The sequence below is a fragment of the Homo sapiens genome, chromosome X (genome assembly GCF_000001405.40).
Source record: "Homo sapiens chromosome X, GRCh38.p14 Primary Assembly".
Lineage (NCBI taxonomy): Eukaryota > Metazoa > Chordata > Mammalia > Primates > Hominidae > Homo > Homo sapiens.
In genome coordinates this window covers 65,289,069-65,316,447 of record NC_000023.11, presented here as the reverse complement: position 1 = coordinate 65,316,447, position 27,379 = coordinate 65,289,069, and the positions used below count along the sequence as shown (strand labels likewise).

At 35.1% G+C, this 27,379-nt stretch overlaps 1 protein-coding gene across 14 annotated transcripts in view, besides 1 other annotated feature; it reads right to left on the bottom strand.

Annotated features, from left to right (window-relative positions):
- ZC3H12B (zinc finger CCCH-type containing 12B) overlaps window positions 1–27,379 on the bottom strand; it is a 473,062-nt gene that overhangs the window by 191,440 nt on the left and 254,243 nt on the right. The window lies entirely within an intron of this gene.
- Window positions 15,660–16,371: an enhancer, noted in NCBI's record as "NANOG hESC enhancer chrX:64519957-64520668 (GRCh37/hg19 assembly coordinates)". NCBI's record gives its function as "activates a minimal SCP1, AML or CMV promoter by ChIP-STARR-seq in naive H9 embryonic stem cells {active_cell/tissue: H9 hESC(naive)}" and the evidence as "EXISTENCE:reporter gene assay evidence [ECO:0000049][PMID:30033119]".

The following is a 27,379-nucleotide window of genomic DNA, read 5'->3' as shown; positions in this document are numbered from 1 at the left end:
ACTGTTAGCCTAATGCTGTAAACTTTTAGGTCACCTTTCTCAACCCTCTAGGTGCCTTTAAAATTTTGCTTTCATTTCAACTTTGCAGAATCCGATGACTATTTTATAGTACCTCACAGAGGTTCTCTTCCTTTCCTGACTTTAAATGCTGGCCTCTTTAGTGAGATTGGGAAAGTTTTCATGTACACTATCCTCAAACATGTTTTCCAAGTTGCTTGATTTATCTCTCTCTATTTCAATGCTGATATGTTGTAGCTTTGGTCTGTTTACATAATCCCATCTTTTTTGGAGGTCTTGTCCATTCTTCTTTATTGCTTTTCCTTTTTTTATTTTTGTCTGACTGAGTAGTTTCAGAGTATTGGTCTTAAAGCTCTGAGATTCTTTACTCAGCTTGGTCAATTCTGCTGTTATTACTTGCAATTATATTATTAAATTCTTGAAGCCAGTTTTTCAGCTCTATCAGATCAGTTTGGTTCTTTCTTAAAAATGACCATACCATTTTTCAGCTCCTGTATGATCTTATTTTACTCCTTAAGTTCATTGGATTGGGTTTTGACTTTTTACTGGATGTGGATGATCTTCACTCCTATCTATATTCAGAATTCCATTTCTGTCATTTCAGCCATTTCAACCTTGTTAAGAGCCATTGCTGTAGAACTGGTGTGGTTGTTTGGAGGTAAGAAGACACTCAGGCTGTTTAAGTTGCCATAGTTCTTGTGCTGGTTCTTTCTCATCTGTGTGGCCTGATGTTCCTTCAATCTTTGACGATGCTCTCCTTTGGATGGATTTTTTTCTTTTGGTTTTACGTTTTCTGATGTCTTTGGGGTTTGATTGTGACATAAGATGGGTTCATTCAAATGGCTTCATTTCTGGATGATTTTACGGGGCCTAGGCTCAGCTCAGCACTCCTGATCTGGGTGCTCCAGCTCTGGGGGGCTGCTACTAGGCCCCTGGCTTTTTTCTCTGGCACCTGGAGGTTAGGTTAGTGATTGTCACAACATTTACAGTATCCTTCTTTTGCTTCTCAAATGTATTTTCAAATGGTACTTTATCATTTCAAATATAATGCAACAAACCTAAAACTGTATACTTCCATTTTTCTTCTCCCATTCTTCTGTGCTGTTGTCATATATTTTACTTCTACATATGCTAAAAACCATAAATTATTTTTTCTACTTATTTAGAAAAATCAGTTATTTTATCATACTTCTACTTTTAATCAATCCATATCATAATATTTAAAGTGGGTTTATTGTATACCACATATAGTTGAGATATTTAATTGTACAAATTAAATAAAAATTAATTGTATCTGAATTTAGAGCTGCCATTTATTATATTTATGTTTTCTCCTTGTGTTATTTGTTCCTCTATTCCCTGTTTTAAGAACTTCTTTTGGATTTTAAAATAATTTTTAGTATTCAATTTCAATTAATTAGATTTTTTGCTATATCTCTACCATTTTAATGATTGTTCTCAAGATTATAATACACATACTTAACTCCTTACAGTTAATTTAGAGTTAATATTTTACCCCTAAAATAAAAATATAAAAGTCTTGTTACCATACAGTTTCCTTTATTCTCTTTTATATTAAAGTTGATATATATCTTATGTCTACATACACAAAAATTTTCCCAAATTATATTTTACTTTCAATAGATAGTTATATATATATACACTAAGGAAATTACTCTACAAGGTTTTCCCAGAAATGTACCATTTCTGTTGCTCTTCATTTCTGAATTATCAGTTTTCTTCTGGTATCATTTCCCTTCAACCTAAAAAAATTATTTTTGACATATCTTTTATGGAAGGTGTGCTGGAAGCAAATTCTTTTAGATTTCCTTTCTCTGAGAATGTTTTCTGTTTCACTTTCATTCCTGAAGAATATTTTCTCTGGATATAAAATTCTGGATGGATAGTTCATTTATTCAGCACTTTAACAATGTTGTTTCCATCTTCTGATCTTCATGATTTCTGGTGAAAAATCAGTAGTAATTTAAATCACTGTCCGCTGTACTTAATGTGTCATTTTTCTCGGTCTGCCTTCAACATGTTTCATTTATCTTTGATTTTGCAGCATTTTCATTGTAATGTGTCCGGGTGTGATTTTCTTTGTATTTCTCCTAAGCTTCTTAAATGTGTAAATTTACATATTTCACCAATTTGGGGTAAATTTCAGCTTTTATTTCTTCAAATTTTTTTTTGTACTCCTCTCTTTCTTCTCTCTGCCAGGAACTCAATTAATACCAACATTAGACCTTGTGATATTGTTCCACATGTCCCTGAGTATCTAGATTTAATTTTTTTTTCTCTGTGTTCTTCTGAATGCATTAGTTCTACTGCTCTATTTTCAAAATCCAAGGTAGTTCCTTCTATCATCCCAATTCTGCTATTGATTTCATCCAGTAGTTTTTCTAAAATATCAGATTCTGTATTTCTTAAATTCTAAGATTCTCATCTTTCAAAAATAGTTTGTATTTCTTAGCTTAGGACTGCTGTTTCAATTCATTTCAAGAGTATTCACCTTGGCCTCACAGAGCATGGTTATAATATCTGATTTAAAGTCTTTGTCTTTTAATTCCATCATCTGAGTCATTTCAGAGTTGGCATCTGTTGATTGTTGTTTCACTTGAGAATCTGTCAAATTTTACTGGTTCTTTCTATGCAAAGTAATTTTGGGTTGTATTCTTAAAATTTTCAATATTATACTATTAAGTATGGTATTAAAATTCGGAAAAAAACTTAATTTGTGTTTGTTTTAGCAGGCAGTTAACCTGGTTATATTTGGATCACAAATTCTGTCTCACTTTCTGTGCTTGTTAAAATGTCATTTAAGTTTTCAAAACCTTTGGTAAGCTGTTTGGGCCTGCCCTTTGTAAGTGCGAATCATAGATTTGTCTGCAACTTAGGCATTAGTTTACATTATAGTTCAGTTCTTAAAGCCTTTGCTATGCTTCTCTGGACATATTATGTGCACCCACAAATAGAAGATGAATCTGAAGTTGTATAGGGTCACACACAAAATTAAGAGATCAACTCTTCAGCTCTCTCTTCTCCAGAATTTTTCCCAAATTATGTGAATAGCAAGAGTCATTTTCCTGATATTTGACTTAAAAATAAAATTCTCCCATAATTTTACACTCCACACTTAAAATAGAAACCATCATTAGTGTAATGTAGTAAGAGAAAATACAGAAAAATAATTATATGGGTTGAATGTTTGTGCCCCCCTCAAAATTCATGTTAAAAACTTAACAACCAGGCAGGGCATGGTGGCTCATGCCTGTAATCCCGCCCTTTGGGACGCCAAGATGAGCGAATCACTTGGGATCAAAAGTTCAAGACCAGCCTGGCTAGCATGGTGAAACCCCACCTCTACCAAAAATACAAAAATGAGCCAGGTGTGTTTGCATCTGCCTGCAGTCCCAGCTACTCAAGAGACTGAGGCAGGAGAATCACTTGAACCCAGAGGGCGGAGGTTGCAGTGAGCTGAGATTGCACCACTGCACTCCAGCCTGGGCCACAGAATGAGAATCTGTCTCAAAAAACAAACAAAAAAAACAAAAAACAAACAAACAAAAAACCAATAAGCAATGTAAGAGGTGATTAGGTCATGAGGGTGGAGCTCTCAGGAGAGGGATAAGTGTCCTTACAAATAGATGTCCCAGAGAGCTGCTTTTCCCTTCCACCAGGTGAGGACACAGAATGAAGACATCATTTTAAACTGGGAAATGAGACCTCACTATATATTCAATCTACTGGCACCTTAACCTTGGACATCCCATTCTCCAGAACTGTGACATAAATTTTTGTTCCTTATAAACTACCTAGTTTATGGTATTTTCTTATAGCAGCCTGAGAGGGATAAGACAAATAATAATTGTGATTTCCCAACCTTTCACAAGAGGGGCCCATTTTTTTTTTTGGCTCCTTTATCCAAAGAGATGGGTTTTTCCTCACAGTTTTTGGTGCTTGTGCTGCCAGCACAGAGGTGCAGATTCATTACTGTGGCAGGCATTGGAGAAGGGCTGAAAAAAAAAAATAGAACCTCGGTGATTCCTTTCACACTATCCAACCCACAGAGGCCACTGTTCTCAATGCTCTGACCAGGAAGATGGGTTTCTCCCAGAGGTATTGTCTGTTCCCTTTATGCAACTCACCATTCCAGCCTGTCTTCAGATTACATTTATGGGATAGTAGAGGGAGAAAACCAAGAAACATACTGCTACTATATTGGTTGTTCTTCAAGTTTTATTTCACTCTCCAATATGCCAGCTATTAGTTACTTTTCTTTTTTTATTATACCTTAAGTTCTAGGATACAGGTGCACAATGTACAGGTTTGTTAAATAGATATACATATGCCATGTTGGTTTGCTGCACCTATTAACTCGTCATTTACATTAGGTATTTTTCCTAATGCTATCCCTCCCCCTGCCCCCTACTCCCAGACAGGCCCTGGGGTGTGATGTTCCCCACCCTGTGTCCAAGTGTTCTCATTGTTCAATTCCCACCTATGAGTGAGAACATGTGGTGTTTGGTTTTCTAATTTTGTGATAGTTTGCTGAGAATGATGGTTTCCAGCTGCATCCATGTCCCTGCAAAGGACATGAACTCATCCTTTTTTATGGCTGCATAGTATTCCATGGTGTATATGTGCCACATTTCCTTAATCCAGTCTATCATTGATGGACATTTGGGTTGGTTCCAAGTCTTTGCTATTGTGAATAGGGCCACAAAAAACATACGTGTGCATGTGTCTTTATAGTAGCATGATTTATAATCCTTTGGGTATATATACAGTAATGGGATCGCTGGGTCAAATGGTATTTCTAGTTCTAGATCCTTGAGGAATCACCACATTGTCTTCCACAATGGTTGAACTAGTTTACAGTCCCACCAACAGTGTAAAAGCATTCTTATTTCTCCAGATTCTCTCCAGCACCTGTTGTTTCCTGACATTTTAATGATCGCCATTCTAACCAGTGTGAAATGGTATCTCATTGTGGTTTTGATTTGCATTTCTCTGATGACCAGTGATAACGAGCATTTTTTTCATGTGTCTGTTGGCTGCATCAATGTCTTCTTTTGAAAAGTGTCTGTTCATATCCTTTGCCCACTTTTTGATGGGGTTGTTTTTTTCTTGTAAATTTGTTTAAGTTCTTTTTAGATTCTGGATATTAGCCCTTTGTCAGAGGGGTGGATTGCAAAAATTTTCTCCAGTTCTGTAGGTTGCCTGTTCACTCTAATGGTAGTTTCTTTTGCCATGCAGAAGCTCTTTAGTTTAATTAGATCCCACTTGTCTATTTTGGCCTTTGTTGCCATTGCTTTTGGTGTTTTAGACATGAAGTCCTTGCCCATGCCTATGTCCTGAATAGTATTGCCTAGATTTTCTTCTAGAGTTTTTACGGTTTTAGGTCTAACATTTAAGTCTTTAATCCATCTTGAATTAATTTTTGTATAAATTGTAAGGAAGGGATCCAGTTTCAGCTTTCTACATATGGCTAGCCAGTTTTCCCAGCATCATTTATTAAATAGGGAATCTTTCCCCATTTCTTGTTTTTGTCAAGTTTGTCAAAGATCAGATGGTTGTAGATATGTGGTGTTATTTCTGAGGCCCCTGTTCTGTTCCATTGGTCTATATATTGGTTTTGGTACCAGTACCATGCTGTTTTGGTTACTGTAGCCTTGTAGTATAGTTTGAAGTCAGGTAGCATGATGCCTCCAGCTTTGTTCTTTTGGCTTAGGATTGTCTTGGCTATGTGGTCTCTCTTTTGGCTCCATATGAACTTTAAAGTAGTTTTTTCCAATTCTGTGAAGAAAGTCATTGGTAGCTTGATGGGGATAGCACTGAATCTATAAATCACCTTGGGCAGTATGGCCATTTTCACGATACTGATTCTTCTTATCCATGAGCATAGAATGTTCTTCCATTTGTTTGTCTTTTATTCCGTTGAGCAGTTGTTTGTAGTTCTCCTTGAAGAGGTCCTTCACGTCCCTTGTAAGTTGGATTCCTAGGTATTTTATTCTCTTTATGGCGATTGTGAATGGGAGTTCACTCATGATTTGGCTCTCCGTTTGTCTGTTATTGGTGTATAGGAATGCTTGTGATTTTTGCACATTGATTTTGTATCCTGAGACTTTGCTGAAGTTGCTTATCAGTTTCAGGAGATTTTGGGCTGAGACGATGGGGTTTTCTAAATTATACAATCACATCATCTGCACACAGGGACAATTTGACTTCCTCTTTTCCTAAATGAATACACTTTATTTCTTTCTCTTGCCTGATTGCCCTGGCCCGAACTTCCAACACTATGTTGAATAGGAGTGGTGAGAGAGGGCATCCATGTCTTGTGCCAGTTTTCAAAGAGAATGCTTCCAGGTTTTGCCCATTCAGTATGATATTGGCTGTGAGTCTGTCATAAATAGCTCTTATTATTTTGAGATATATTCCATCACTACCTAGTTTATTGAGAGTTTTTAGCATGAAGGGCTGTTGAATTTTGTCAAAGGCCTTTTCTGCATCTATTGAGATAATTATGTGGTTTTTGTCTTTGGTTCTGTTTATGTGATGGATTATGTTTATTGATTTGCTTATGTTGAACCAGGTTTGTATCCCAGGGATGAAGTCGAGTTGATCGTGGTGGATAATGTTTTTGACCTGATGCTGGATTCTGTTTGCCAGTATTTTACTGAGGATTTTCACTTTCACATCAATATTCATCAGGGATATTCATCTACAATTCTCTTTTTCGTTGTGTCTCTGCTAGGCTTTGGTATCAGAATGATGCTGGCATCATAAAATGAGTTAGAGAGGATTCTGTCTTTTTCTATTGATTGGAAGTTTCAGAAGGAATGGTACCAGCTCCTCTTCGTACCTCTGGTAGAATTCAGCTGTGAATCCATCTGGTCCTGGAATTTTTTTGATTGGTAGGCTATTAATTATTGCCTGAATTTCAGAGCCTGTTATTGGTCTATTCAGAGATTCAACTTCTTCCTGGTTTAGTCTTGGGAGGGTGTATGTGTCCAGGAATTTATCCATTTCTTCTAGATTTTCTAGTTTATTTGCGTAGATGTGTTTATAATATTCTCTGATAGTAATTTGTATTTCTGTGGGATCAGTGGTGATATCCCCTTTATCAGTTTTTACTGTGTCTATTTGAGTTGTCTCTCTTTTCTTCTTTTTTAATCTTGCTAGCAGTCTATCAATTTTGTTGATCTTTTCAAAAAAAACAGCTCCTGGATTCATTGATTTTTTTGAAGGGTTTTTTTTTTTGTGTTTCTAGCTCCTTCAGTTCTGCTCTGATCTTAGTTATTTCTTGCCTTCTGCTAGCTTTTGAATTTGTTTGCTCTTGCTTCTCTAGTTCTTTTAATTGTGATGTTAGGGTGTTGATTTTAGATCTTTCCTGCTTTCTCTTGTGGGCATTTAGTGCTATAAATTTCCCTCTACACACTGCTTTAAATGTGTCCCAGAGATTCTGGTACGTTGTATGTTTGTTCTCATTGGTTTCAAAGAACATCTTTATTTCTGCCTTCATTTTGTTATTTACCCAGTAGTCATTCAGAAGCAGGTTGTTCAGTTTCCATGTAGCTGTGCAGTTTTGAGTGAGTTTCTTAATTCTGAGTTCTAATTTGATTGTTCTGTGGTCTGAGAGACAGTTTGTTGCGATTTCTGTTATTTTACATTTGCTGAGGAGTGCTTTACTTCCACCGATGTGGTCAATTTTGGAATAAGTGTGATGTGGTGCTGCGAAGAATGTATATTCTGTTGATTTGGGGTGGAGAGTTGTGTAGACGTCTATGAGGTCCACTTGGTGCAGAGCTGAGTTCAAGTCCTGGATATCCTTGTTAACCTTGTTTCTCATTGATCTGTCTCATACTGACAGTGGGGTGCTAAAGTCTCCCATTATTATTGTGTGGGAGTCTAAGTCTCTTTGTAGGTCTCTAAGGAGTTGCTTTATGAATCTGGGTGTTCCTGAATTGGTTGCATATATACTTAGGATAGTTAGCTCTTCTTGTTTAATTGATCCCTTTACCATTATGTAATGGTCTTGTCTCTTTTGATCTTTGTTGGTTTAAAGTCTGTTTTATCAGAGCCCAGGCTTGCAACCCCTGCTTTTTTTTGCTTTCCATCTGCTTGGTAGATCTTCCTTCATCCCTTTATTTTGAGCCTATGTGTGTCTCTGCACATATTTTTATGGTTTTGAGGGTTCCTTTTAGAGTTGTTTTCTAATTTTATTCCAATGTGCTCTGATAGAGTACTTAATATAATTTTGATTTTCTTAAATTTACTGAGACTTGTTTTGTGGCCTATCATATGGTCTATCTTCGAGAATGTTCCATGTACTGATGTAAAAACATGTATCTTGTAGTACAGGTCTTCTTATGAGGAATTTCCACAGCGTTTGTTTGACTAAAAATGTGTTTACTTCACATTTGTTTTTGAAGAATATTTTTGCTGAATATAATAAACTTAACATGCCAGTTTTGCTTTATTTCAGTATTTTATTAAAGGTTGCATTCTATTGTCTTTTGGCTTTCACTGCTTCTTACAAGAAATCAGAGTAAAATTTTATCTTTGTCCCATACAGAAATGTGTTTTCTTTCTGGTGACAACTTTAAATGTTTGTGTTTATCACTGATTCCAACAATTTGCTTATGGTATGCTTCAGCGAGTGGCTTTGTGTATTCTACTATAGGTTTGTTTAGCTTCTTGATTCTGTGAACAATAATTTATTCAAAAAAATCTGTACCTTTTTTTGGACTACACATATATATTAGACTACTTGATACTGTCTCACAGATAATTAAGGGTCTGGTCATTTTTTTCCCCAGGATCATTTTATTCTGCAGTTTATTGTGGAAAATTTGTTTTCCTATGTTTCCAATTAACTGGTTGTTTATTTTCACTAATAGGCTGTAAAACTCTTCAAGACTTTTGATTTCTCACATTGTATTTCTTAGTTTGAAAAGTCCCATTAGGTTCCTTTTCCATTGCTCATTTATCTGTACATAACGTTTATATTTTATCTTATATCCTAGATTATACTTAAATTCAATGTTTCAAAGTCTTCAAGAATTCTAAACCTTAGGCATTTGAGGGTGCTTTTCTATTGACTGATTTTTATTCTAATTCATGGACACATATCTCTGCTTTTTGAGTTATAGTAATTTTTGACTGGATACTAGACACTGTATTTACATTGTTGAATATCTGGATATTGCTATATTACTTTAAAGACTGTCAAAACTCTAAACACCTTTACTAAGATATAAGTACATAACAATAAACTAAATATTTACACTCTACAATTTTATAAGTTTTCACATATGTGTATGCCTAGAATACTATCACCACAAGCAAGAAGATGAGTATATCTACTATCCTTAACAATTTTCTCATGCTTCAATATAGTTAATTCTTCCAGCCTCTCACCATACCCACTTATCTGCTTTCTGTCATGGTAGATTAGTTTGCATTTTCTATAATTTCATATGAATAAAATCACACAAAATATTCTAATTTGTCAGGCTCTTTCACTTAGCATAATTACTTGAGATTTATCTAATTTGTGGCATGTATCAATAGTAATTCCTTTTTATTGCTGAGTGGTATTCTACTGAAGGAATATACAACACCTTTCTTATTCACTCACCTGTTAATAGACTTTTGGGTTATTTTCCTTTTTGGAGCTGCTATAAATATGTGTATAACAATCTCTGTATGCACCTATGCTTTCATTTCTCTTAGTTAAATATTTAAGATTGAGCGGGGCGCAGTGGCTCATGCCTGTAATCCTAGCACTTTGGGAGGCCGAGGCGGGTGGATTGCCTGAGCTCAGGAGTTCGAGAGCAGCCTGGGCAACACAGTGCAACCCCGTCTCTATTAAAACACACAAAAAATTAGCTGGGCGTGGCAGCGTGTGCCTGTAGTCCCAGCTACTCGGGAGGCTGAAGCAGGAGAATTGCTAGAACCCAGGAGGCAGAGGTTGTAGTGAGCCGAGATCACACCACTGCACTCCAGACTGGACGACAGAGCAAGAATCCATCTCTAAGAAAAAAATAATACATAAATAAATCTAAGAGTGGAATGGCTGAATCTATATCAGTGTACATTTAACATTTTAGTAATGTCAAACTTTTCCTCAAAATGTTGGACAATTTACAATCCCACTAACAGTGTATGAGAGCTCTAGTTGTTCCATAACCTAGCCAACATTTCTTATAATCAACTTTTAAAAAATATATTTGTAACAAAAAGTTCATTTCTATTGACGGATTTGCAATTATCACAGGCAAAAGAAAATAAGAACTGCATGCAGAAAATTACTTCTTTCCTTATGCTACATCTGTAGACATTTGATTTTTATCATGATAGAGAAGGTATGAGTTCTTATATTGCTTGGCACAGTAGAAATAGAAGAAACAAATAAATATAACAAAAGGTCATTTCTCAGTGATTTCTATGTATGCTTTTTACTGGCAGTAAAAACAGCACTTGGGTAAATCAGACAACAGTAGATTTAGAAATAATATTGGAAGCTATCTAGCCCAACATCCACCATTTACAGAACAGAAAACAGGTTCGGTTAAATGACTCATGTAGTTATAGTGTTCTTGCCATTATAACACACTGTCCCTTTAATCTGCATAAATGAGCGATATCACCCATTTATTAACCCACTGACCATGAGCTACAATTGTGAAGGGCACTGAGGAGTTCCTCCAGGAACTCAAAATCCAATTGGGAAAATGAACATTTAAATAACAAATAATAACATAACAAATTTCTTATAGATACAAACTGCAAAGAAAACACAATAGGTGCAATGAATTACTGAAAGGATTAAAAGAAAGAGTGAGGAAAGGAAAAAGAAGAGTGGGAGTTTATCAGGCAGAGAAGGGGAGAAATGCTTTCTAGATAAGAGGGAAACCTTGATAGTGTTACCAAATAACTAACGATCCCAAGGGATACTTTAGACTGATAGATCGCTATCTCTTAATGAGTCTGATTCCAACACTAAATAAAAATAAAACCACTATTTGCTTAGTTTCAACTGCCTATGCTACCTCCAATATATTAAGTGAATGGTAATATCTTCTTTTTTTTTTAAATGTTGCAGATTGGGAAAGGATTGTGGAGTGAGACAGACCTGGAGTTCAAGCCCTGCTCTGTTTAATATTTGTATGAAGTTTGGTGATTAAATTGTAGTTCCCCATTTCTCTGAGATTTAAAGTTTAACTAAATAGTACTTAATCCCTAGGGTTATTATGTATTCCAGAACTTAAAGTATAATCAACTTTTTAAAGCTAAGACAGTGTAATAGATGTGTGGTGATATATCATTGTGACTTTAATTGCATTTCTTTAATGAGAAATAATATTTATCATTGTTTCTTGTGTTTATTTGCCATCTCCATATCTTCATTGATAAAATACCTGTTCAAAGCTTGTGTCCATTATTTATTTGGTTTTTTTATTACTTCTTATTGAGATTAAAATATTTATTACACTTGTACAATGTAAATATTTTCTCCACGTCTATAGCTTGTCTTTACAATATTTTTAAAATGTCTTTCAAATAGCAGAAAAATTAATTTTGATGAAGTCCAATTTATTATTTTTCTTTATTGATCATTCTATGGTGTCGCACCTAATAAATTTTTGTCTAACCTAATTAACACAAAAATTATTCCCCATTTTTTTCTTCTAAAAGTGTACTTTTTTATTTTTGGTTTTACATTTAGGTTAATGACTGGGTTGGATTTAATTATTGTACACTGTGAGATATGGGTAAATGTTTTTGTTTTTTGTTTTTTTTTTTTTTGAGACGGAGTGTCGCTCTGTCCCCCAGGCTGGAGTGCAGTGGAGCGATCTTGGCTCACTGCAAGCTCCGCCTCCCGGGTTCACGCCATTCTCCTGCCTCAGCCTCCCGAGTAGCCGGGACTACAGGCACCCGCCACCACGCCCGGCTATTTTTTTGTATTTTTAGTAGAGACGAGGTTTCACCGTGTTAGCCAGAATGGTCTCGATCTCCTGACCTCGTGATCCACTCGTCTTGGCCTCCCAAAGTGCTAGGATTACAGGCGTGAGCCACCGCACCCGGTCGGGTAAATGTTCTTTTTTTTTGCATATGGTTACTCAATTATTCTACCACCATTAGTTAAAGAAACTATACTTTCTCCATGAAATTTCAGGTTTGGTTGAAAATTGATATGTATGTATGTAAGCCTATTTCTGAACTCACTTCCTTTGATTTATTCATCTATATTGTCAATACCACACTGTCTTAAATAAGTTAGATTTCTAAGTCTTGATGACATTGTAAGTCCTATAACTTTACACTATTTTCCACATAACGTTTTGGCTCCTCTAGATATTGTGTAATTTCAAATGAATTTTAAAATTGGTTTGTGAATTTCTTTTTAAAAACCTGTTTGAAAGTTTGAGATTTCATTCAATCTGTATCTCTACTTGGGTAAAACTGACACTTTAACAAAATTGAGTCTTCTAATCCAAGAGTATTACAGATCTCTCTATTTTATGTGGTCTTCTTTACTTACTGTCAGCAATGTTTCACAATTTTCAGTGTACAGGTCTTGCACATTTTTTATCAGATCATCTCTATGTATTTGGTAATTTTTATGCTATTGTAAACAGTATTGACTTTTAAAATTCTCAAGGTTTATTGCTGGTATATAGAAATATGTTTGAATTTTGTAAATTTACTTAGTGTCCTTCAAACTTTCACGTTTGATTGTACTGACTAGAAGTTACAGTACAATGTTAAATAAAAGTGTTCAAATGGAATTCTTATTTTATTGCAGACCTAAGCAGGATAGCATTCAGTCTTCCAACATTAAGTTTTGTACTAGCTATATAATTTTCAAAGAAGGTAAAGAAAGTTTCCTTCTATGCCTAGATTACTGAGATATTTTATTAAAAATGGATGATGGATTTTGTCAAATGCATTTTCTGCATCTACTGGAATGATCAGATGGTTTTTCTTTAACCTGTTAATATAGCAAATAACATTGTTTAATTTTTCAAATGTTAAACTATATTATTTTAAAAACTTTTATTTTAGGTTCGGCGGTACACATGCAGGTTTGTTATATAGGTAAATTCATGTCACAGGGTTTTGTTGTACAGATTATTTTATCATCCAGGTACTAAGCCTGATAATCAATAGTTCTTTTTGCTCCTCTCCTTCCTCCCGTCCTTTACCCTCAAGTAAGCCCTGACTTTAAGTTCTTGAAAAAAACTTAAAGTTTTTAATTTAAATGAAGTCCAGCTTATCAGTTATTTCTTTCATACACTGTGTCTTTGGTATTTTTAAAACCATCACAATACTCAAATTAACTTAGATTTTTTCAGTGTTATTTTTAGGAGTTTTATACCTTCACATTTAACCTTTAGGTTTGTGATCCATTTTAAATGTATTTTTTTCAATAGTGTGAGGTCTGTGTTTAGATTTTTTTGTGTTGCATGCAGAGATCCAGTTATTCAAGTACCATTTATTTAAAATGTTATTTGAATCATTGTATTACCTTTTGCTCCATTTTCAAAGATCAGTTTACTGTATTTATGTGAGTTTATTTACAGGTTTTCCATTCTGTTCCACTAAATTATTTGTGTATTTTCTAGACAGTATCGTACTGCCTTGATTACTGTAGCTTTATAGTAAGACTTGAATGCAGGTAATGTCAGGCCTCTGACTTTCTTGTTCTTCAGTTCTAAGTTGGCTATTCTGGGTCTTTTGCCTTCTCATATAAACTTCAGAATCAGTTTGTCAATATTCATAAAACAACTTCCTGGGATTTTTATTGGGATTGCACTGAACCTATAGAATAATTTGCAATGAAGTGACATCTTCAAAATATTTTCTTACTATCCATAAACATAAAATGACTTCCCATTTATTTAGTTCTTCTTTAATTTTTTTCATCAGAGTTTCATAGTTTTACTCCTATATCATGTACCTATTTTGTTTTATCTGTACCCAAGCATTTTATTTATTGGGTGCTAATGTAAATGGAATTGTGTTTTTAGTTTCAAATTCCACTTATTCATGAGATGTAGGAAAGCAATTGACTTTTGTATATTAATCTTGTATCCTGAAACTTTGCTATAATTGCTTTTTAGTTCAAAAGTTTTTTTGGTCAACTCAAATTTTCTGTATAGACAATTATGCCACCTGTAAAAAAAAAAAGCAGTTTTTTCTTCCCAATATGTATATAATCTATTTTCTTTTCATGTCATGTTGCATAACCTAGGACATCCAGTATAACATTGAAGAGTAGTGGTTACCAAGGACATTCTTGTCTTATTTCTTATCTTAGTAAGAAAGCTTCTAGTTTCTTCCCATTAAGTATATTGTTAGGTATAGGTTTCTTGTACATTTTTCAGAAAGCAAGTTGAGGAAGTTCTCTATTCCTGGTTTGCTAAAAAGTTTTTTTTTTTAAATCATAAATGGAACGTGGATTTTGAGAAAGGATCGTTTAAAGCTATGTATATGAATATGGCATTTTTCTTCTTTAGTCTGATAATGTAACAGGTTACATTAATGATTTTTAAAACATTTGTTATTTCAATAGGTTTTGGGAAAACAGGTGGTGTTTGGTTAAATGGATAAGTTCTTTAGCAGTGATTTGTGAGATTTTGGTGCACCCATCACCAGAGCGATGTACACTGTACCCAGTGTGTAGTCTTTTTCCCCCACCCATCCCACCTTTTACCCCAAGTTTCTCAAGTCCATGGTATCATTCTTATGCCTTTGCATCCTCATAGCTTAGCTCCCACTTATGAGTGAGAACATATGATGTTTGATTTTCCATTCCTGAGTTACTTGACTTAGAATAATTGTCTCCAATACTATTCCAGGTTTCTGCAAATGCCATTATTTCATTCCTTTTTTTTTTTGGCTGAATAGTATTCCACAGTGTGTATGTATACGTGTATGTGTATATATATATAATTTTCTTTATCCATTTGTTGATTGATGGGCATTTGAGCTGGTTCCATATTTTTGCAATTGCAAATTGTGCTGCTATAAACATGAATGTGCAAGTATCTTTTCTGTATAATGACTTCTTTTCCTCTGAGTAAATACCTAGTAGTGGGATTGCTGTATGAAATAGATCTACTGTTTGTTCCTTACTAAATCTCCATACAACTTTCCATAGTGGTTGTACTAGTTTACATTCCCACCAGCAGTGTAAAAGTGTTGCTTTTTCACCACATCCACACCAACATGTATTTTTTTTTTAAATTTTTATTATGGCCATTCTTGAAGGAGTAACGAGGTATTGCATTGTGGTTTTGATTTGTATTTTCCTGATCAATAGTGATGTTGGGCATTTTTTAAAATATGTTTGTTGGCCATTTGTATATCTTCTTTTGAGAATTGTCTGTTCATGTCCTTAGCCCACTTTTTGATGGTATTTTTTTTTTTTTCTTGCTGATTTGTTTGAGTTTCTTGTAGATTCTGGATATTAGTCCTTTGTCAGATGCATGGTTCGCAAAGTTTTTCTCTCATTCTGTAGGTTGTCTGTTTACTCTGTTGATTCTTTCACTGTGTATAAGCTTTTTAGTTTAATTTAAAAAGTAGCAGGGGAGTGAAGTGGACTCTGTGAGGGTATGGTTCTAATTTTGTTTAGTTCGGTAGTTTTGTGTTGGTTGGCCTTTGGTGGTTTTGTGTTGGTTTAGTCAGAAGATGGCGCTTTCAAGACAGCATCAGCTGCGGTGGTATAGGGAGGATACAAGCTTGCCCTAGGATTATCTGGATAAGTACTCAGGTTCCTCCTGTGATGGGCAGGGCCATAGTCTTCCCAAGAGATTATGTCATTTATCTTTGGCTACCAGGGTGGGTAGAGAAAGACCACCAGGTGGGGGCAGGGTTAGGCTATCTGAGCTCAGACTCTCCTTGGGCCGGGCTTGCTTTAGCTGCTGTGGGGGATGGGGGTCTTTTTCTCAGGCTGATGAAATTGCATTCCCAGAAGGATTATGGCTGTCTCTGTTATGTCATACAGGTCGTCAGATGAGTGGGAGAAAGCCAGGAGAGGCCTCACCCAGCTCCCACGCAGCACAAAAGGCAAGTCTTACTACCACCCTGCCCCCTCAACAGCACCAAGTTTATATCCAGGCAGCTGGTGAACAGGGGAACTTGCCCCAGGCTACAAGCCCTCCAGCTGAGAAAGCAAGCAGGGCTTTCAGGTTTCTTGACTGCCCTCCTGCTGTGGTTTCTGTGCTGGTATCTGCATGCCCCATTCACCCTTCCCCCATATTCTGTCCAGGAAACTTCGTGTTCAGTTGAAATTGTTACAAAGTTCATCTGGAAGTTTCCTTCTCCCTGTGCTCTTTCTCCAATTCTATTGGCAGCCCTACCCAAACACCCTTGTGAGACAAACTCAGGAATGACTTCTCTGGGGACCAAGAGTGCCCACAGGGCTCATCCTGCTGCTTCCCTCTACTCCTATATTTCACTTGACTCTCTAAATTCATCCCAGCTCTATGTAAGGTCAAATCCTTCTCCCATAATCTGGAACCTCAGGTTCCCCAGTAAGGATGTGTGTTTGGGAGTAGACGTTCCCCCTCTCACACTTTGGGCACTCACAGTTTTTTAGCTATCTCATGGAGCCTCTAGCAGCAAGCTGCTTTCTTCAAAGGGTCTGAGGATTCTCTCAGCTTTCCTTTTCCCGAAGTAGTTCTTGGAGCAAAATTTCACACTGGGAGCCTCCACACACTGCTCTGTCTGTCTGAGTGGAAGCTGCAATTTAGTCCTGCCTGTTAGCTGCCATTTTTCTCCTAATGTTTAATTTAATTTAAATGCAGAATTTGAGCTCTTAGACCTAGGGCAATCCATCTTTGATGCTTATATTATTATTTGTCGGTTCAGGAACCTCCCCTCTTTCTGTCTATTCAGGCTTTCCAGTTCCTTTGTAATCTCACATTAATGACTTTTGAATGTTAAATCAGCCTTGCATGCCTGGAATAAATACCACTTGTGCTAAATAATTATTTTTTATATATAGTTGGACATCATCTGCTAATATTCTGTTGAGAATTTTTACATCTGTTTATGAGAGACATTGGTCAGTAGTTTTCCTTTATTGTGTTTTTCTGTGGTGTAGGCCTTATAGTAATGACGGCCTCACAAAATGAATTAAAAAATATTCCTTTCTCTTGCAAAATCTAAAAAACACTGTGGAGAATTCACACAATTTCTTCCTTAAATATTTGGGAAAATTCACTAGTCAACCCATCTGAACTTCATGCTTTCTATTTTGAAATGTCATTATGTAGTTCACGACTGTATATCACTATTCATTTACAGTCACCTGTTGATATGGTTAGGCTTTGTGTCCCCACCCAAATCTCACCTTGAATTATAATTCCCATAATCCCCATTATCCCCACGTGTCAAGGGAGAGACCAGGTAGAGGTAATTGAATCATGGGTGCAGCTTCCACCATGCTATTATTGTGACAGTGAGTGAGTTCTCATGAGATCTGACGGCTTTATAAGGGGCTATTCCCCCTTTGCTTGGCACATCTCTTTCCTGCTGCCTTGTGAAGATGGTGCCTTGCTTTCCCTTTGCCTTCCACCATGATTGTAACTTTTCTGAGGTTTCCGCAGCTATGTTGAACTGTGAGTCAAATAAACCTCTTTCTTTTATAAATTACCCAGTCTCAGGCAGTTCTTTATAGCAGTATGAAAACTGACTAATACACCAGTCAACAAATCTTAGTTTGTTTCCATATTTTGGCTATTATGAATGAACAATGAGCATAGGAGTGCAGATTTTTCTGTGAGGTCCTGATTTCATTTCCTTTGGGTATATACCCAGAAGAGGAATTTCTGGGTCATATGGTAGTTCCATTTTTAACATATTGAGGAACCTCCATACGATATTCCATAATGGCTTGAATTTAATTTGCTAGTCTTTTCCTAGTATCCTCTGGTAGAAGAAGCTCAGATCCTCAATTTTAGATCTTTATTGTTGTATAACATATGCATTCAATGCTATGAATTTCCCTCTAATCACTTCTTTTACTGCATCCCACAAATTTTAATAATTAGTATTTTCATTTTTGTCTAGTTAAAATTATTTTTTAAATTCTCTTGATGGGATTCTTTTTTCTTGGTAATTTGTTTGAATTCCTTGTAGATTCTGGATATTAGTCCTTTGTCAGATACACAGATTGTGAAGATTTTCTCACTCTGTGGGTTGTCTGTTTACTCCGCTTATTGTTTCTTTTGCTGTGCAGAAGCTTTTTAGTTTAATTAAGTCCCACCTATTTATCTTTGTTTTTGTTGCATTTGCTTTTGGGTTTTGGTCATAAAGTCTTTGCCTAAGCCAATGTCTAGACGGGATTTTCCCATATTATCTTCTAGAATTTTTATGGTTCCCAGTCTTAGAAGATTAAAATCTTTGATCCATCTCGGGTTGATTTTTATATAAGGTGAGAGATGATGATCCAGTTTCATTCTTCTACATGTGGCTTGCCAATTATCCCAGCACCCTTTGCTGAATAGGGTGTCCTTTCCTCAGTTTATCTTTTTGTTTGCTTTGTTGCAGATCAGTTGGCTGCAAGCATTTGGGTTTATTTCTAGGTTCTCTATTCTGTGCCATTGGTCTATGTGCCTATTTTTATGCCAGTACCATGCTGTTTTGGTGACTATAGCCTTATAGTACAGTTTGAAGTCAGGTAATGCGATGCCTCCAGATTTGTTCCTTTTGTTTAGTCTTGCTTTGGATTTGTGGGGTCTTTTTTGGTTCCATGTAAATTTTAGGATTTTTTTTCTAGTTCTATGAGGAATGATAGTGGTATTTTGATGAGAATTGCATTAAGTTTGTAGATTGCTTTTGGCAGTATGGTCATTTTCACAATATTGATTCTAGCCATCCATCAGCATGGGATGTATTTCTATTTGTTTGTGTCATATATAATTTCTTTCAGTAGTGTTTTGTAGTTTTCCTTGTAGAGGTCTTTCACCTCCTTGGTTAGGTATATTCCTAAATATTTTATTTTATTTTGCAGCTATTGTAAAAGGAGTTGAGTTCTTGATTTGATTCCTCTTGGTCGCTCTTGGTGTACAGCAATGCTACTGATTCAGGTACATTGATTTTGTACCCTGAAAATTTACTGAATTCATTTTTGAGTTCTACAAGCCTTTTGGATGAGTCTTTAGGGTCTTCTAAAGATATGATTATATTATTGGCGAAAAGTGACAGTTTGACTTTCTCTTTACTAATTTAGATTACCCTGATTTCTACCTCTTGTCTGATTGCTCTGGCTAGGACTTCCAGTACTATGTTGAATAAAGAGGTGAAAGTGGGCATCCTTCTCTTGTTCCAGTTCTCAGGTGGAATGCTTTCAACTTTTTCCCATGCTGTATAATGTTGGCTCTTTGTTTGTCATAGATGGCTTTTATTACCTTAACTATGTCCCTTATATGATGTCATTGCTGAGGGTTTTGCTCATAAAGAGTTGTTAGATTTTGTCTTCTTTTTCTGCAGCTATTGAGACAATCACATAATTTTTTTTAATTATGTTTATGCAGTGTATCACATTTATTGACCTGTATATGTTAAATCATTCCTGGATCTCTGGTATGAAACCCACTTGATCATGGTGGATTATCTTTTTGATATGCTGTTGGATTCAGTTAGCTAGTATTTTGTTGAGACTTTCTACATCTATCTTCATCAGGGATATTGGTCTGTATTTTCCTTTTTTTGTTATGTCCTTCCCTGGTTTTGGTATTAAGGTGATACTGACTTCATAGAATGATTTAGGGAGGATTCTCTCTTTCTTTATCTTTTGGAATAGTGTCAATAGAATTGCTACCAGTTTTCATTTGAATGTCTGATAGAATTCAGCTGTGAATCTCTCTGGTCCTGGACTGTGTGTGTGTCTGATTATTATTATTATTTATTTCAATAAGTTTTTTGGGAACATATGGTGTTTCATTACACGAATAGTTCTTTAGTGGTAATTTTTGAGATTTTGGTGCACCCATCACCTGAGCAGTGTATACTGTACCCAAATGTGTAGTCTTTTATCCCTCGCCAGTCTCTGCCCTTTCCCCGAGTCCCCAAATTCCAATGTATCCTTATGTCTTTGCTTCCTCATAGCTTAGTTCCCACATCTGCGTGAGAACATAAGATATCTGGTTTTCCATTCCTGAGTTACTTCACTTAAAATGAGTCTCCAATTCTATACAGGTTGCTGCAAATGCCATTATTTCATTCATTTTTATGCCTGAGTAGTATTCCATGGTATACATATACTGCATTTATTTATTCATTCGTTGACTGATGGGCAATAGAGTTGGCTCCCTATTTTTGTAATTGCAAATTGTGCTGCTATAATCATGCATGTGCAGGTATCTTTTTCGTATAATGACTTTTTTTCCTCTGGGAAGATACCTAGTAGTAGGATTGCTGGATTAAACAATAGATGTACTTTTAGTTCTTTAAAGGATCTCCACACCCTTTCTGGATATATTTTTGCTGGCATTTTTTTTTATTACTGTTTCAATCCCGCTACTTCTTATTGGTCTGTTAAGAGATTCTATTTCTTCCTGGTTTAATGTAGGAGGGCTGTATATTTCCAGGAATTTATCTATCTCTGCAAGGTTTCTAGTTTGTGCGTGTAAAGGTGTTCATAGTAGCCTTAAATAATCTTTTGTATTTCTGTGGTTTTAGTGGTAATTTCTCTCATTTCATTTCTAATTTAGCTTATTTGGATCTTCTCTATTCTTTTCTTAGTTAATATCACTAATATTCTCCTAATTTTGTTTATCTTTTCAAAGAACCAGCTTTTTGTTTTATCTTTTGTCCTTTTTTTGTTTGTTTCAACGTAATTTAGTTCTGCTCTGATCTGTGTTATGACTCTTCTTCTGTTGGGTTTGGATTTGGTTTGTTCCCATTTCTCTAGTCCCTTGAGGTGTGACCTTACTTTGTCTATTTGTGTTCTTTCAGACTTTTTGAGATGGACATTCAATGCTCTGAACGTTCCTCTTAGCACTGCTTTTCCTGTATTCCAGAGGTTTTGATAAGTTGTGTCACTATTAGCGTTCAGTTCAAATAATTTTTTAAATTTCCATCTTGATTTTATTGTTGACCCAATAATCACTCAGGAGCAGGTTATTTAATTTCCATGTATTTGCATGGTTTTTAAGGTTCATTTTGGAGTTGATTTCCAATTTTATTCCACTATAGCCTGAGAATACTTAATATAATTTCAATTTTCTTAAATTTTATTCCACTGTAGTCTGACAATACTTAATATCATTTCAATTTTCTTAAATTTACTGAGACTTGTTTTGTGGCCTAACCTATGATCTATCTTGGATAAATTTTCATGTGCTGATGAATAGAATGTATATTCTGCAGTTTTTGGGTAGAATGTTCTGTAAATATCAGTTTAGTCCTTTTTTTTTTCTAGGATATAGGTTAAGTTCATTGTTTCTTTGTTGACTTTCTGTCTTTATGACCTGTCTAGTGCTGTCAGTTGAGTAATGAAGTCCCCCTTTATCACTGTGTTGCTGTCTATCTCATTTCTTAGGTCTAGTACTTATAGTTTTGTAGATTTGAAAGCTCCTGTGTTAGCTGCATATATATTTAGGATTGTGATATTTTCCTGTTGGACAAGTCCTTTTATCATCATATAATGTCCCTCTTTGTTCTTTTTGACTATTGTTGCTTTACAGTCTGTTTTCTCTGATATAAAAATAGCTACTCCTGCTCACTTTTAGTGTACATTTGCATGGAATATCTTTTCCCACCCCTTTACCTTAACTTTATGTGAGTCCTTATGTGTTAGGTGAGTCTTCTGAAGATAGCAGATAGTTGGTGAATTCTTCTCCATTCCTCCATTCTGTTTCCTTTAGGTGGAGCATTTAGGGCATTCAACATTAGTATTGAGAAGTGAGTTACTATTCTATTCATTGTTTTAGTTGTTGCCTGAATACCTTGTTCTTTTTTGTCATTATGTTATTGTTTTACAGGTCCTGTAAGATTTATGCCTTTATGAGGTCCTATTTTGATGTATTTCAAGGATTTGTTTCAAGATTTAGAGCTCCTTTTATCACTTCTTGTAGTGCTGGCTTGGTAGTGGTGAATTCTTTCAGCATTTGTTTTCTGAAAGGGACTATATCTTTCCTTTATTTATGTAGCTTAGTTTTGCCGAATACAAAATTCTTGGCTGATAATTTTCTTGTTTAAAGATGCTAAAGATAGGACCTCAATGTTTTCTAGCTTGCAAAATTTTTGCTGAGAAATCTGCTGTTCATCTGATAGGTTTTCCTTTATAGGTTACATGATGCTTTCACCTCAGGGCTCTTAAGATTCTTTCCTTCATCTTGACTTTAGAGAATCTCATGATTATGTGGCTAGTTGATGATCTTTTGGCAATAAATTTCCTGGGCGTTCTTTGAGCTTCTTGTACTTAGATGTCTAGATCTCTAGCTATGCCTGGGAAGTTTTCCTCAATTATTCCCTCAAATATGTTTTCCAAACTGTTATCTTTCTTTTTTCCCTTGGGAACACCAATTATTCTTAGGTTTGGTCATTCAACATAATTTCAAACTTCTTGGAGGCTTTGTTCATTTTTTAAATTCTTTGTTCTTTGTCTTTCTTGGATTGGGTTAATTCAAAAGCCTTGTCTTCGAACTCTGATGTTCTTTCTTCTACTTGTTTGATTCTATTGCTGAGACTTTTCAGTGGATTTTGCATTTCCCTAAGTGTATCCTTGATTTCCAGAATTTGTGATTTTTTATTTATGCTATGTATTTCTCGGGAAATTTTTCTGTTCATTCCCTGTATCTTTTTTTTTTATTTCTTTAAGTTGGTATTCACCTTTCTCTGGTCCCTCCATGAGTAGCTTAATAACTGACCTTCTGAATTCTTTTTCTGGCAATTCAGAAATTTATTCTTGGTTTGGATCCATTGCTGGTAATCTACTGTGATCTCTCGGGGTGTGTTAAATACACTTATTTTGTCACATTGCCAGAATTGCTTCTCTGGTTTCTTCTCATTTGGGTACACTATGTCAGAGCGAAGATCTGGGGCTCAAGAGCTGTTGTTCAGATTTTTTTTTGTCCCAAGGTGTGATCCCTTGATGTTGTGCTCTTTCCCTTCCCCTAGTATTGAAGTTTCCTGAGAACTGAACCACAGTGATTGTTATTTCTCTTTTGGGTCTAGGCACCCAGCAGAGCTACCAGACTCCAGGGTGGTACTGAGAAATATCTGGAAAGAGTCCTGTGGTGTGATCCATCTTCCAGTTTCTCAGCTGTCGATACCATCACCTGCTTTTTCTGTGTTTATTTAGATGATCATGTAATTTCTCTTGAGAATTCTTCTTTGACCTATGAATTATTTACAGGAATGTTGCTTCATGTCAAAGTATTTGAATGATGTTTCAGCTTTCTGTTATTTTATTGTATTTTTTGAGACAGGGTCTTGCTCTGTTGCCCATGCTTGAGTGCAGTGGCACAGTCATGGCTCATTACAGTTTTGACTGTTCAGGTTTAAGTGATCCTCCTACCTCAGCCTCCTGAGTATCTAAGACCACAGGCAAGTACCACTATGCCCAGCTAATTTTTTATTATCTGTAGAGACAAAGTCTTGCTATGTTGCTCAGGCTGGTCTCAAACTCCTGGGCTCAAGCAATCCTCCTACCTTGGCCTCTGAAAGTTCTGGGATAACAGGAATAAGCCACCATGCCTGGCCTCTTTCCATTACTGATTTCCAGTTATTCTCAATAGTAAACTGAGAATATATATTGTATGCTTTAAAAAAAAAAAAACTTCTATTTTAAGTTCAGAGGTACATGTGCAGGTTTGTTACATAGGTAAATATGTGCCAGAGTAGTTTGCTTGTTGCACAGATCATCCCATCACCCAGATATTCAGCCCAGCATCCATTAGATCCTCTCTCTCTTCCAACCCTCCACCCTCCAGTAAGCCCCAGTGTATGTTGCTTCCCTCTATGTATCCATGTGTTCTCATCATTTGGCTCCCACTTATAGTGAGAACATGCCGTATTTGGTTTTCTTTTCCTGTGTTAGTTTGCAAAGGATTATGGCCTCCAGCTCCATCCATGTCCCTGTAAAGGACATGATCTCATTCTTTTTTGCATGCTGTTTATTCTCTTAAACTATTTAATTTGTTTTATGGCCCAGAATGTGATTTTTCTTGAATTTTCCATGTGAGATAAAGAATTGTGTTCTGTTGTGACTAGTAGTCCATAGATGTTAATTACATCAAACCGACTGATTTGGTAGTCCAGTTAAATTATGTCTTTACTGATTTCTGCCTCATCTTTCCATTTATAATATAGAACTTTTAAAGTCTTCATATGTAATAGCAGATTCATCTGTTTCTTCTTGTATTTCTCATAATAAGTTGTCACCTCACATATTTTGACATCTTATTGTTAGTTTCATACATATTCAGGATTGTTATGTCTTTAGAGAATTAATCCCTTCATCATTATTTAATGCTCCCTTTTATCCCTGATAATTTCCCTTACTGTAAAATCTGCTAAGTCTGAAATTAACGCAGGTAATGTTCTTTTAATTAGTGTTAGCATTGTATATATTTCTCCATCTGTTGTTTAAAAACTATTATTTTGGTAAAAGTACTTAACTTGAAATCTACCCTTTAACAAATTTTAAAGTATAGTGTACAGTATTAACTATAGACATAATATTGTAGATATCTAGAATTTAATTATCATCACTAATTAAAAAATTATACCCACAGAATAACAACTACCCATTCTCACCAGCACCCACTCCTTAGCAACCACCATTTTACACTCTGGTTCTATGTGTCTCAATATTTTACATGCCTTATATAAGTAGAAGCATATAGTAATTGTCATTCTGTGACTGGACTATTTCACTTGGAATAATTTCCTCAAGGTTCATTTATGTTGTCACATATGGCAGCATTCCTGCTTTTTGAAGACTGAATAATATTCCATTGTGTGTACATACTACATTTTGTTTATCTATACATCCACTGATGAACATTTAAAAGTTTCCACATCTTGGTATTTTCAATAGTACTGCAATTCACATGATAGTGAAAATATCTCGTTAAAATCACCATTTTAATTCTTTTGAATAAATACCAAGAAGTAAATTTTTAAATATTATTTCTTAATATTTCTATTTTACTGTGTCGGGGAATTTCCATACTGTTTACATAGTGGTTGCACAATTTTACAGTTCAATAAGCACTGTACAGGGACTCAATTTCTCCACATTCTAGCCAACACTTATTTTTGTTTGCTTTATAATGGCCATCACAAAAGATGTGAAGTGATATCTCATTTTGTTTTTTCTTATTTATATTTTAATTTGTTCAAATTCAGAGACTACATAAGAATTTTTTTACATGTATTTAAGGCATAGTGATCAAGTCACGGTATTTAGCATGTCCATCACCAAAATCAAATACATTTTTATAGTCATCTTACTCTGCTATCAAACATTGAATTTATTCCTTTTATCTTACTTTATGTTTGTACCCTTTAACACACTTCTCTTCATCCTTCCATATCCCCCCATTCACCTTTCCAGTCTGTATTATATATTTTTCCACACTCTACCTCCTTGTGTTCAAATTTTTTTACTCCTACATGTAAGTGAGAATATGTGGCATTTGTCTTTTTGTGCCTGGCTTATTTCACTTAAGATGATGACCTCTAGTTCCATCCATGTTGCTGAAAATGACGTGATTTCATTATTTTTTAATGGATAAAACTATTCCATTGTGTATATGTATATTTTCTTTGCCCATTCATCTATTGAGGAATACTTGGGTTGAATCCATATCTTTGGTATTGTGAATAATGCTCCAATTAACATGAGTGCAGGTATTCCTTTGATATATTGATATCTTTTCCTTTGGGTAGATACCCAGTAGTAGGATTGCTTAAGTGAATGGTAATTCTACATATAGGTTTTTTTTATTTATTTACTTTTTTCGGAAGTCTCAACATTGTTTTCCATAGTGTTTGTATCAGTTTACATTCCCTCCAACAGTATATAAGCAATTCTTTTTCCCCACATCTTTGCCAAAATGTGTTTTTTGTTTTTGTTTTGTGTTTTTTTAAATAGCCACTCTGCCTGGCATAAGATAACATCTTATTAGGTTTGATATTCATTTTTCTGGTGATTAGTGATGTTCAGCATTTTTCATATATCTGTTAACCATTTTGCATATCACCTTTTAAGAAATATCTATTCATGTTCTTTGCCCACATTAAATGGAATTATTTGTGTTTTCCTGTTGATTTGTTTGAGTTTGTTTTATATTCTGGATATTGGTCCCCTGTCAGATAAATAGGTTGGAAATATTTTCTGCCATTCAATAGGTTATCTCTTCATTCTGTTATTATTATTATTATTTTTTACTACATAGAAGCTTTTTAGTTTAAGCCCCATTTCTCTATTTTTGCTTTTGCTGACTATACTCTTGAGGATGGATAATAAATCCCTTGCTTACGACAATGTCCAGGACAATTTTATCTGTTTTCTTCTAATAGTATTATAGTTTTGGGTGTTATGTTTAAACTTAAACATTTTGGGTTGATTTATGCACATAGTGTGAGATAGAAGTCAAGTTTCATTCTTTTGCATATGACTGTCCAACATTCCCAGCACCATTTATTGAAGAGTGTCCTTTTCCCTAATGCAAATTCTTGTCAGCTTTGTCTAAGAATAGTTGGCTGTATGAATTTATTTCTTGATTCTCTATTCTGTTCCATGGATCAATGTCTCTATTTTTTACCAATACCATGCTGTTTTGGTTACTATAGCTTTTATATATAATATCAAATTAGATATTATGAATATAAAATATTTATAATTATATAACATAAAATATATACATAATAATATATACATGTACTCCCTGAACCTAAAATGAAATTTGAAATAATTTAAACATGTGCAGGTTTGTTACATGGGTAAATTGCATGTCACCGAGGCTTGGTTATGAATAATCTCATCATCCAGGAAGTGGGTATAGTATCTGATAGGTAGTTGTTCAACCCTCGCCCTCCTCCCAACCTGTAATATATTTTCAGGTTAGATAATATGATGTTTGCATTTTTGTTCACTTTTCTCAGGATTGCTTTGGCTATTCAGGCTCTGTTTGTGTTCCATGTGAATTTTTAAATTTTCTTTTTTCTAACGTTGTGAATAATGCCACTGTTATTTTGATTGGGATTACATTGAACTTGTAGATAGCTTGGGCAATATGGTCACTTTAATAACATTAACTTTTCTGACCCATAAACATGGGATATTTTTTCATTTGATTATGTCATATTCAGTTTCTTTCATCTGTAT